The following is a 12,550-nucleotide window of genomic DNA, read 5'->3' on the forward strand; positions in this document are numbered from 1 at the left end:
GCAAGCCCAGAGTGAAACCCAAGCTTGTGATCCTCTCCAGAGGGAGGCCTGGTTCTCAGGGAACAGCAAACGGGAAGATGTCCCCAGATCCCAGGGATCAGGGCTTGGACCAGCCGGGGACGCAGCCCAGAGGGAGTGGGTCCAGAAGGAAACAGCTAGACACAGCAGCCTTCACCATCCGCAGCCCCTCCAGGCCTCCCTCGGGGCCTGCTCCCTCCTCTGTGCACAGTTCCAACACCTGGGGCAGGGTTCTGGGAAGGGCTGGTGGAGGTGGGCTGGTGGGAGGCGGTGATCACAGCCCAGCACCTGGATATCACCAGGGGCACTGGGGCCAGGGGCCAGGTGAGGCCAGGTCGGGGCTATCCTTCAGGAGCCCCGAAAACCTGGTGATTCCAAAGGGCCCATAGACAAACAGGTTTTTATGCCTGTGGAGTCAAGTCCCACTGGGTCTGAGCTCTGCAGGGCTGTGTCTCTGGGGCTCTGCAGGGGTGAGATGGAGGTGGGCTCAAATGGTGTACAAGTCACTCCTCAATCCTTATTTTATTTATTTAATTTTTTTAAAAAAAATTTAAACCAATAGAGATGGGGACTCACTATGTTGACCAGGCTGGTCTTAACTCCTGACTTCAAGCAGTCCCCCCATCTCAGTCTCCCAAAATGCTAAAATTACAGGGGTGAGCCAGTGCACCCAGCCTCAATCCTTATTTTGGCCTGAGAGGAAAGGCCGTGGCCCCATTTGCAGGGGAGAAGACTGAAGCTGGAGGGGCAGGCCTTGCTCTGGGTTGCACAGCAGCAAGAGAAGTGGGAGCTGGCCACGAGGCTTCCTCGACTCGACACACTGGTGGGGTACACCCTGGTTCTCCAGGTCCCATGGGGCTCAGCCCAGGACTACCTCGGGGGGTGAGGTACTTAAATCCTCTCCTTCATTCTCATCGCCCTTTCCCCCATCATTTCCTGAGGAAGAACATTCAGGGACCTGAAGGGGTGGCCTGCCCCTCCACATCTGTGGGTGTTTCTCATCAGGTGGGACAAGAGACTGAGAAAAGAAAGAGACACAGAGACAAAGTATAGAGAAAGAAAAGTGGGCCCAGGGGACCTGCGCTCAGCATACGGAGGCCCCACGCTGGCACCAGTCTCTGAGTTCCCTAGTATTTATTGATCATTATCTCTACCATCTCAGAGAGGGGGATGTGGCAGGACAATATGGTAATAGTGGGGAGAGGGTCAGCAGGAAAACATGTGAACAAATGTCTCTGTGTCATAAACAAGGTTAAGAAAAAGGTGCTGTGCTTTGATGTGCATATACATAAACATCTCAATGCATTAAAGAGCAGTATTGCCACCAGCATGTCCCACCTCCAGCCCTAAGGCAGTTTTCTCCTATCTCAGTAGATGGAATATACAATTGGGTTTTACACCGAGACATTCCTTTGCCCAGGGACGATCAGGAGAGAGATGCCTTCCTCTTATCTCAACTGCAAAGAGGCCTTCCTTCCTCTTATACTAATCCTCCTCAGCACAGACCCTTTACGGGTGTCGGGCTGGGGGACGGTCAGGTCTTTCCCTTCCCACGAGGCCATATTTCAGACTGTCACATGGAGAGAAACCTTGGACAATACCTGGCTTTCCTAGGCAGAGGTCCCTGCGGCCTTCTGCAGTGTTTTGTGTCCCTGCTTACTTGAGATTAGGGAGTGGTGATGACTCTTAACAAGCATGCTGCCTTCAAGCATTTGTTTAACAAAGCACATCCTGCACAGCCCTGAATCCATTAAACCTTGAGTCGACACAGTACATGTTTCTGTGAGCACAGGGTTGGGGCTAGGGTTACAGATTAACGGCATCTCAAGGCAAAAGAATTTTTCTTACTACACAACAAAATGGAGCCTCTTACGTCTACTTCTTTCTACATAGACACAGTAACAGTCTGATATCTCTTTCTTTTCCCCACAGGGACCTTCCTGGCTGTGCCTCGGGTCAGGACCAGAATGACACCCATTCATTTCCCTGGGCCTTTGCTCCGGTGGTCCCTGCACCCTGGCCTCTGCCTGACGAGGATGGTGGGGAGAGGAGGGGGGACGTCCCCCACACTGCTGTCTCCACTGTTCCTGCTGCCCAGGCCTCTGGGCTTCCAGGACTACAGCGGGTGGGTGGGTGGGCTGGCCTGAGCCCAGGAATGCACTTCAGTTCCTGGTTGAGCAATGTCACTGAGGCTTGGGAGTCGGGTGGGGGCGGGAGGAGGCGTCCACAGGCCCCCCCTACCGTGAGAGGCAGCCGTGGGAACAGCCTACCTCTAAACAATCACTGCAGCCCAGGCTGACCAGGGGCTCTGGCCGGACATAGGGGCCTGGCAGGCTGTGTGCCCTGTAAGGACACAGTCTGTCTCTGTGCCTCAGTTTCTCTGCTGCCCAGATGGAGGGGCCCAGACTCCAGGTGTACACATCTGGAGCAGGCAGTGTTCAGTTGGGGAGGAAGCGGGGAGGACTGTGGGGGCCATGTGGGAAGGATTCCACCCCACATCACCTGCACCCCTGCTGAGCCTGGTCAACGGAGCCCCTCAGTGGGTCCTCACTCTCCTGGCTGCCTCCCATTTAGGCACCCTGAGGCCTGGGGAGAACAGAGCCAGGCCAGTGTCCCTAGAGAGGCTGCGCTGCCAGCACAGTAGTAGCGGATTTGGATTCAGGGAAGCAGACCTGCAGCCAGGGTGGGAAAGAGCTGCAGGCGGGGTGGAGCCCCCACATGGCACAGCCCCCCTCCCTGGAGGTCCATGCTGCATTTCCAGGACAGCAAGTCCCAGGGATGGATGGTGCCTGGTGCCAAGGGCTAGAGGCATGGTCTGTCTGCATTCCCTACAGGGGCATCTTGTAGTCACCAGCATTTGATGCTGTCAAGTCCCCCTGTCCTCTGTGCAGACTGGGAAGCCCTTGGTCACCCTGGGGGGTGGGGGGACCCAGGCCAGGCTGCAGAAGCATAAGGACTTGAACCCGGGTCCTGAGTGACACCACCTTGGGTCCTCCTCCCTCTGCCTCTGTTCAGCTCCACCTTGATGCTGACTAGGCTGGGCCATGCGGAGAGGGTTAGGGGATAGAGATGAGAGCTGGGGAGCAGGGCTCCACTCTGGGAGGGGGGCAGCCTTGCGGGATCCAGGGCAGAGTTAAGCGGCCCCAGCTCCGCTTTCCTAGAGCTGCTGAGAACCCGGGAAATGGTGTGGAGGTTCCGGGGAGCCCTGCCCCTACCTGGCAACCGCAGTGCAACAGGCACCAAGTTCTCCTGCACATTGCGACAGTGGGACCCTGGGCTCTGGCGGGCGGTAGGTGGGGCCTTTGGACCTACCAGCAGTGAGGGAGTTAACACAGCAGCTGACTTCTCTAGGCAAGGAAAACTCCCCTCAGACGCTTTGCTGCCTGGCCTCCTGCCAGCAACAAGCAGGAGCTGAAAACTAGAAGCTGAGGCATGAGTTTGGTCACTCCGTAGTGTGCACTTGGTGAGGGCAGCAGCTGGCCACAGCTGCCAGCCGTCTGTCCATTCGCCCATCTGTCCATCTGGCAGCCCGCTGTTCAGACCTGTCTGTCTGTCCGCCCATCTGTAAGCCCATCTCTGTCCCATTGTCTATCTGACCATCTTTCTCTTACTGTCCTCTTTGTCTAGCTATCTGGCCTGTCTGTCGATCCATCTTCGTGTCTGTCTTCAGCCCCCACCTGTTTGTCCATCTGTCCAATTACCTGTGAGTCTATCTATGCATCTTCTTGTCCATTCATCTGCCCACCCATCTGTCCCTCCGTCTGCCCACCGGCCTCCCCTCTCCTTCTGGGCCGCAGAGCCACGGCCCAGGACTGCAGAGCCATGGTTGGCCTGGTCCTGCTGGGGCTGGGGCTGGCGCTGGCTGTCATTGTGCTGGCTGTGGTCCTCTCTCGACACCAGGCCCCATTTGACCCCCGGCCTTTGCCCACGCCGCTGTTGCTGCTGACTCCAAGGTCTGCTCGGATATTGGACAGTGAGTGAGATGTGGGAGGAAGCTGGGTGGCCCTTGGCAGCCAGCCCCTCCTGGAGAAGGCGTGTGTGTGTAAGCGTGTGTGTGTGTGAGAGATTATGTGTGTGTGTGTGGGTATGTGAGTGTGAGTGTGGGGTGTGGGTGTGTGTAAATGTGTGTGATCGTGTTTGGGTGTGTGTATGTGTGAGTGTGTGGGTGTGTGGGGGTATGTGAGTGTGAGTGTGTGGGGGGTGTGGGGGGGTGTGAATGTGTGTGATTGTGTTTTGCTGTGTGAGAGTGTGTGTGACTATGAGTGTGTGAGTGTGTGTTGGTGTGTGGGTGTGTGTAAATGTGTGTGATTGTGTGTGTGAGTGTATGTGTGGGTGTTTGTGGGTGTGTGTGAGTGTGTGAGTGTGAGTATGGGGGTGTGGGTGTGTGTGAATGTGTGTGATTGTGTGTGGGTATGTGTATGTGTGGGTGTGTGTGTGCATGTGTGTGTGTGTGCGCGCACGTGCACTGGCCCAGGAAGCAGGAGCCGTGTGTGTGGGCTTCAGCACCTGCAGGACTTGAGCGCAAGGAGACAGCCTCAGGGCCCTTGCACAGAACAGGTGGCAGGGTGTGCCCGTGGGGCAGATGGGGACTTGGGGACAATGGTGGTGTGTGAGTCCATACCTGGCTCCAGGATTCAGGAGGCCCATTTGCATATCCCAGGTGGGAACCTGTCTGGCCCCGGCTGACCCTGCTGGCCGGTGCAGGCCCCTTCAGTGAGGCCAATTCTCCAAGGCTGCGGTCTTCTCCCAGGGTCATGGGTGAAGGGGTTTGGAGGCTCCCTGCGTGGGTACTGGCCTGCTGGGGTACACACAATGCTGCCATAGCCAGTCTGCCCCTACACCCAGCCCGGGGCCACATCTCAGGTCTCTCAGTCCTGAGGAGCCCGGTGCCCCACCCCTCACATCCTCTCTCCCTGAGTCAGGGCCTGGGTCTCGTGAGCTGAGTGACTGATACTTGGTGTCCTGGATGAGGGCGTGGTGGAGAGGGGCCACAGCGGGTGTTTCCTGACCCTCTTCCAGGAAGGTGCTGCTGCCGCTGCAGGGAGGACACATACAGGATGCCCCTTCCTGCCCCCTGCCTCCCATTGGGCCCACAAAAGCCAGGGCAAGCCTCCCCTCCCTGCCAGCCACCTGGTCTGCTTCCCAGAAATTCTGTCTTGCAGGCTGTTGGGAGGATCCCAGTACTTTGTAAACTAAAGCAAGGGAGGAGTGGCCGTTCTCTCTCTTTGCTCATTCATTCACCTTTTCATTCATTCCTTCTTCCCTCCATTCCCCCATCTGTCCATCCTTCCCTGCCCTGATTGCTCATGCCACCCCCCCTCCAGCCCCTCCTGACCTGGTCCTTTGGTTTCTCTTCAGGGCTTTCTGTCTCCTCCCACAGGGCTGAGAATGGCAGCTCAGGGACAAGTGGGGGCTGGGGACTGCTTAGTCTCCCCAGTGGCTCTCAGGGGATTTGAGGGTTTGACGCCAGCTGCCACCCCAGGCTGTGCCCCTCCTCTGCTCAGGAGGACATGCAGAGATGCGACACCCACTTAAACTCGAAGTTGCAAAGATGCAAATGAGACTGGGGTCTCAGGCACCAGAGACCACCCATGGGCACGTGGCTTTTGGGAGTGGGGACCTGCTGCCACAGATCTCTGAAGAGTCTGGACCTGCTGGGTCTCCCCGAGTGACTGTCTGGGGGTCTCCATAGCATGCCCTGCTGTGTGCGCGACGGTCACTGGTTGGGTAGGGGTCTCTACTCTAAAGCTCCCTCTGCCGGCATCCCCTCGAACTCTCCCTTGGTGAAGAGAGGATGTGGTTTTCCCCCAGTGTTTTATCAAACAACTCTCTCCACTTCCTGTTTTAAGAAGCTGGGAGTGGAAGAGAGCCTGGGGCTGGCCCCAGCTGCTGCTGCGAAACAGGGGTCACTGGACGCTGGGACCCTGGCCGGGCTGGCTGGAGGCCTCAGGAAGAGGCCTGCTACAGTGTCATCCTGGCCAAGATTCCTCCCTGCAGAGGACCCTGGCCACACTGCCACAGGGTCTGCTGGGGCCACCAGAAGCCCATGCTCCTGCCTCCATCTCTCCCCTTTGTGCTCACCTCTCACCAGGAGGCCCTCCCAGAGTTCAGTCTCCTGCTTTTCTTTTTTTTTTTTTTTGAGATGGTGTCTCGCTCTGTCACCAGGCTGGAGTGCAGTGGTGCGACCTCAGCTCACTGCAACCTCTGCTTCGTTGGTTCAAATGATTCTCCTGCCTCAGCCTCCTGAGTAGCTGGGACTACAGGTGCCAGCCACCACGCCCAGCTAATTTTTGTATTTTTAGTAGAGACGGGGTTTCACCATGTTGGCCAGGATGGTCTCTATCTCTTGATTCGCCCGCCTTGGCCTCCCAAAGTGCTGGCATTACAGGAGTGAGTCATGGCACCCGGCCTCATCTCCTACTCTTTCAGCACCAGGTTTTATTCTTGGGATTCTGCTACAGCCGCAGCCCCTGGGTGCGAGCTCCTAAGCTTTCTGCGAGTGTGGACCCAGCACCGTGCCTAGTAGACATACAAAAGGAACATGGTGACAGTGAGGTCTGTCATCTCCAGCATAATGACTCTTTTGATCCTTGTAAAAAAGGTGATTTTTGGCTGGGTGTGGTGGCTCACACCTGTAATCCCAGCACTTTGGGAGGCTGAGGGGGGTGGCTCACTTGAAGTCAGGAGTTGGAGACCAGCCTGGGCAACATGGTGAAACCACGTTCTCCTGGGTGTCCAGGTGGTCCAAGACCCCATGACTATATCATGACAGGAAAGAGAGAGTTAATAAATCTGAGGGCATAAAATGTGAACATATACTGTTTCCATCCCACATGAAGGCACATGTGTCTGAGCCTACTCTCTGGGAGGAATAGAGATCTCAGTTTCCACATCAGGGTTGCATTCTATGCACCTGCAGCCATGTTATTCTGCTGTAGCAGATGCTACACTTGGCACCGACATTGCAGATGGGACCATGACCTTACTGGAGTTGTAGAAATCTACTTTCACCTTCCAGAATCCATTTAATGTTTATAGGAGCTAGTCCAAGAAATTAGATGGAAATAAAGTCCTGCTACAACCTGAGAATCTTTAGGCCTTTAAAGGTAACACTATTACATGCAACTCCCAATGAAGGGTGAAGCATGATTATTATTTACCTTTTTTGATGGGGTGAAATGGGGAGAGAGTCGGAATTCATCACATACATAAAAGGCAGGTCGTATAAATGTTAGTGTTTGTGAGTCACAAGGTCTGTCTTGCAGCGACTCAGATCTGCACTTGTGGCATGAAAGCAGCCATTGACTGAACATAAATGAAGGGATATGGGTTTGTTTAATGAAACTTTATGTACAAACGTAGGTAGTCACTATGGTTTGCTGACCCCAGCTTTTCCATTGCCCCATGGAACTTTCTTTGGGATGCCTTTTTGCAGTGGGTTCTAGGTGAGAAAAATTGGCTCGGATCTGGATGCTGAAGTTGAGACTGGTGCTGTCATGTGGCTACTGCCCTCGTCCATCCTGGGTGACTTCTGACTGTTGTGATGAGCAGGGCCCTTTGTGGCTGCCTAGCTCCTGGTGCCAAGAATGATGAACCCTCTGCATTGCCCTCTGCAAGGCAGACCACAGGACAGCCACCCTGAATTGCTCGTTCTCACTGTGTCCACCTTGCCTAAGATGGTTGGGCACATTCACTGGCTGGTTAATTCCAGATAGTGTTATCTCATTAATGCCAGGCAGTACCTTCTAGAAGAGGCTCCTACCATCTGCACTAGACTATGGAGCTTCTCCGGGGTGCTAGTGCTCTGTCACCTGAATATGCTTCAGGGATTTGCTAAACAGAATGTCCTTCAGGCCCTCCCATAGAACACAGGGAAACATTTTGTTTTCCCTTGTGTGACTGCAAAAGGGAAAACAAAAATAAGCCTGGGAAAGGGTGATTTAGGACTTTGATGATGTCGAGGCTGGGAACTCCCATCAGAGTTTCTATATATGATGGGGAGGGGCCAATTTTTTGAAAGTCAGCATTGACTGGCCATTGGACACAGGTGGCCCTACATTGACTCTCTCTTGCCCAGGACCTCTCCTCAAAAAGTCTCAGGTGATTCAGCCCCACAGCAGCAGGGGCACGACACCTTCTGTCCTGAAGGCTGATAACCGGTGATGTGGACAGCTGCCATTCACTCTGGGGAAGATGCTGCCTAATTCCACACCCACCGCCTGCATGTCTAGTGAGAGCCTGCCTATTCCTATGGGGACACCCCAAAATTAGCTCCACCAAGAAGCCTCCTCCACCTCCATTCTCCACAGAAGACACTCATCTTATATGCTTGGCTACAGGTCCTGTTTGCTCTGCTATTATCCCTATCACCTGTCCCTGTCTGTTCAATTGTCTCACATGAGCAGAGAGACGATGTCTCATTCAGCCTTATTTCCCATGGGTATTAATAAATATTCATTGAGTCAATTAAAAATTCATGTAATAACCTATCAATGCATGTCTCTGTGTGAGGTAAAGAAAGCATCCTGATTGTAAATATAACTCTCATGTTAAAAGCTGGGAGCAGTGGCTCATACCTGTAATACCAGCACTTTGGGAGGCTGAGGAGGGTGAATTACCTGAAGTCAGGAGTTTGAGACCAGCCTGATCAATATGGTGAAACCCCATCTCTACTAAAAATACAAAAATTAGCAGGGCATGGTGGCGTGTGCTTGTAATCCCAGCTACTCGGGAGGCTGAAACAGGAGAATCACTTGAACCTGGGAGGCGAAGGTTGCAGTGAACCGAGATCATGCCACTGCACTCCTGCCTGGGTAACAGAGCAAGACTCCGTCTCAAAACAAACAAACAAAAGCATTCTTACAGATTATCTTGGCTTTTATTCCTTTATTCTACCAATAAGTTGTTAGCCTCTCTTATGTGCCATTTGTTACAAAAAATCAGCTGTCATTTTTATGGAGACTGAGAAGTCCCCTGATCTGTCCATTGTAAGCTGAAGACCCAGTAGGGCCGGTTTTATGGATTAGTCCAAGCCCCAAGGCTTGAGAACCAGGGGAGCCACTGGTCTAAGACTCAGTCCAAGGGAAGGAGAGGATCAAGGTCCCACTCATGCAGTCACACACAAAGGAGGAATTCTCCCTGCTGGTGCCTTTTGTTGTATCCACGCCTTCAGTAGATTTGATGATGCCAACCACACAGAGGAGGGCAAAGTACTAACTTAGTCCAGGCATTCAAACATGAATCTCATCTGGAAACACCCTCATAGACACACTCAGAAATAGTGTTCAATCTGGGCACCTCATGGCCTAGTCCATTTGACCCATAAAACTTACCATTACTATCATTAAAATGGCATACGTTATGTATATTTTGTTACCATAAAAAATTTACATTCTGAAAATAAAGTACAGTGTCTTAGCTCATTTGTGCTGCTACAACAGAATACTTGAGGTTGAGTGATTTACAAAGAACAGACAGTTATTTCTCACAGTTGTGGAGGCTGGGCAGTCCAAGATCCTGGTGAGGGCTTTTATACTGCATTCTCATGTGGCAAAGGCAGAAGGGCTGGAGAAAGCTAAAGGCTGCATGAAGCCTCTTTCCTAAGGGCCTTAATCCTCTCAAGAGTGAGGAGCTGTCATGCCCTAATTGCCTCTTAAAGGCCATCTCTTTTAACACTACCACACTGGCAACATCTGAATTTTGGAGAGGACACATTCAAACTATAGTAGCAAGTTTAATTTGGAAATAATTCTACTCAAAAAAGCATTAGAATTGAGTAATGAAACCCTGTATATCCCCTCCCTGGATGCAACAATGGGGTACGTTGAGTCCAATCCAGGGAGCATTCTCGCTTCCTCTCTCTACTCCATCTTAAAAAATTAACAATAATTTTCTGTCCACTCCATAATCCCATTTCACCAATTGCCCAAAATACCTACAGTAGTTATTTAATTATGTTTACTAACAGAATCCTCAAGATTCCAACCCTTATATTTGATTTTTACTTCTCTCTGATCGATCTGGCATTTATCGACGAAGATTCCATCAAACCCTGGGCTTATGAAAAATTTTGCAAAAATTCCACAGATAGGAAAGTGTTCATTGTGTGCAGCAGAAAAATGTTCATCATGCAGAGTGGAAACATGTTTATGTGTGGCAAGCAATGGTAAAGTGAGTCCTGCATTTTAAAATGAAAGGACAGTAGATGGAAATTAGAGGTCACACTGTGAAATAATGAATTCTGTTAAAGGCAACAACATAGGTTAGTATAAAAGGCAGCATTATGGTATTTTTGGTTAGTAACTTCTCTTTGGAAACCTATCACAAGCAGAGAGACTGAATCCATAATTAAAACCTTCCAGCCAAAGAAAGTCCAGGACCAGATGGCCTCCATGTTTTTTATATCAGCCATTTAAAGAATTAGCATCAATTCTTATCAAACTCTGAAAAACTAGAAGAGGAAGAAACTATTCCTAACGAGCCCAACATGACCCTGACCGAAGTCAGTTAAAGACCCTACAAGATGTGACAACTAAAGACCAATATACCTCGTGAATATAGGTGCAAACATCCTCAAAATGTGTGCCAGCAACATGAATCCAACAGCATATTCAAAAGATTATGTCATATAACTAAGTGAGATTAATATCAGGAATGTAAGGAGGGTTCAATATAAGAAAATGAATCAATGGAATATACAACATTAATAGCTCAAGAGAGAAAATACATATTCCAAATAACATAGAACAACAAAATCCAACACCTTCTCTAAATGAAAAAAAAAAAGCACCCAGAAAACTAGAAGTAGAAGGAAACAACCTCTGTGTGATAAAAGGCGTTTGTAAAAATCCCACAACAAACTTCATACTCAATAATGGAAGACCGAAAGCTATCCCTCTGACATCTCCGGATGCCTAACCTTATTTAAGTGAGTTCAGCAAAGTTGCAAGATGCAAGATCACCATGCAAAACTCATTCATATTTTTTTTTGGGGGGGGATGGAATCTTGCTCTGTTGCCCAGGCTGGAGTGCAGTGGCTCAATTTCGGCTCACCTCAAGCTCCGCCTCCCGGGTTCACACCATTCTCCTGCCTCAGCCTCCCGAATAGCTGGAACTACAGGCGCCTGCCACCAAGCCCAGCTAATTTTTTGTATTTTTTAGTAGAGACGGGGTTTCACCGTGTTAGCCAGGATGGTCTCAATCTCCTGACGTCATGATCCACCTGCCTCGGCCTCCCAAAGTGCTGGGATTACAGGCAGAGCCACCATGCCCAGCAACTCATTCATATTTTATATGCACCAGCAATGAACATCTGAAAAAGAAGTTTTAAAAGTAACTCTATTTACAAGACCACCAAAAAGAATACAAATAAATTTATCCAAGAAGATGAACTTCTTGTACACTGAAAATGTCAAGACATTTCTGAATGAAATGTGCAGAGATGCCTCAGGTGGCTCCTGCATATTCCGCCCCTGGTGAAGCATGTTTGCATTTTCTTGGGAACTGAGCACCTCCTGCTTGGTCGTAAGGCAGACAGGCCACACAGAGAAGAATAATTCCTCCCTTTGGGCCAGCAGTTCAGGGATCAAGAAATCCTAGACCTGAGGAGTAATTTCTGAATCTACACCTAGACCAAGGTGGTGTCTGAGCCTCCAGCAGTCAGTGAAGAGCAACCAGCAGTGGTCAACAGAGAGTCACATGGCAAAGCCGCCTGGAGCTGGGCTGGACCTGCATGTCAGGGAGATGCTGACATGCAGGGAGGGTCAGTGACCATGACCTAACACTGGGGGGAAAAATGTCCTTCTTTTTCTAGAGTATCATCGTTAACATTGATGTACAAACTCTTTTGCCCCATGTCTCTTACATCTGGCTCTTTTAGAATTTGCTTATTTCACAGCAACAAGTTCAAGTCTTATACTACATTGCATCCCAGCCCACCCAATTATGCTAAAACTCTGGATCTGTCAAACACTTTCAGAGCAGCAGATTTGTACCTGGCCCTAAACGCATAGTGGGGACACTGAGGCACAGCTCCTAGGGCCTTCCCCTGAAGCTCCACCAAGGGCAAAAACTTATACAAGCTTCATGGATATTAAAAACCTCCATGTTCACTTAGCAAGGGAGAAATTTTATTCAAGTTCTGCAGCTCAGGAGCTGTGCTCAAGAGCAAGACCCAGAACTTCTCAAAGCCTGGTTTTGGCACCTGTAGAATGGAGCCCAAAAACGCAGACAGACTTACCTCGGAGCTCTATAGGGCCAGGACAGCCCAGGAGTAAAGCCAGTTTGAGACACAATTTGGGGTGAAGATGTCGGCCCAGAATAGAACCAGGAGAGGAAGAAGAAACCCGTGTGCTGAGAGTGGGTCTGCTGGGACCACTCCTCTCCTTCCTGGGCCCTTTGGGGCTGAGCCCTTCTCTAAAAACCACAGAGCTACTCCAGCAGCAGCCCCTGACTCTGCTGATTTGCATCATGGCCGCTTTATCCAGCAAGGGGATAAGAGAGGCCTGGGAGGAACCTGCTCAGCCTGGGTCTT

At 51.1% G+C, this 12,550-nt stretch overlaps 1 pseudogene and 1 further gene, besides 1 other annotated feature; both read left to right on the forward strand.

Annotated features, from left to right (window-relative positions):
- Positions 1-12,550, forward strand: part of IGL (immunoglobulin lambda locus) — an 896,838-nt gene that overhangs the window by 622,295 nt on the left and 261,993 nt on the right.
- Positions 2,559-3,533: an enhancer, noted in NCBI's record as "H3K27ac-H3K4me1 hESC enhancer chr22:22993399-22994373 (GRCh37/hg19 assembly coordinates)". NCBI's record gives its function as "activates a minimal SCP1, AML or CMV promoter by ChIP-STARR-seq in naive H9 embryonic stem cells {active_cell/tissue: H9 hESC(naive)}" and the evidence as "EXISTENCE:reporter gene assay evidence [ECO:0000049][PMID:30033119]".
- Positions 3,229-5,710, forward strand: LOC129026 (gamma-glutamyltransferase-like activity 1 pseudogene; annotated as a pseudogene).

This window comes from Homo sapiens, chromosome 22 (assembly GCF_000001405.40).
Source record: "Homo sapiens chromosome 22, GRCh38.p14 Primary Assembly".
Lineage (NCBI taxonomy): Eukaryota > Metazoa > Chordata > Mammalia > Primates > Hominidae > Homo > Homo sapiens.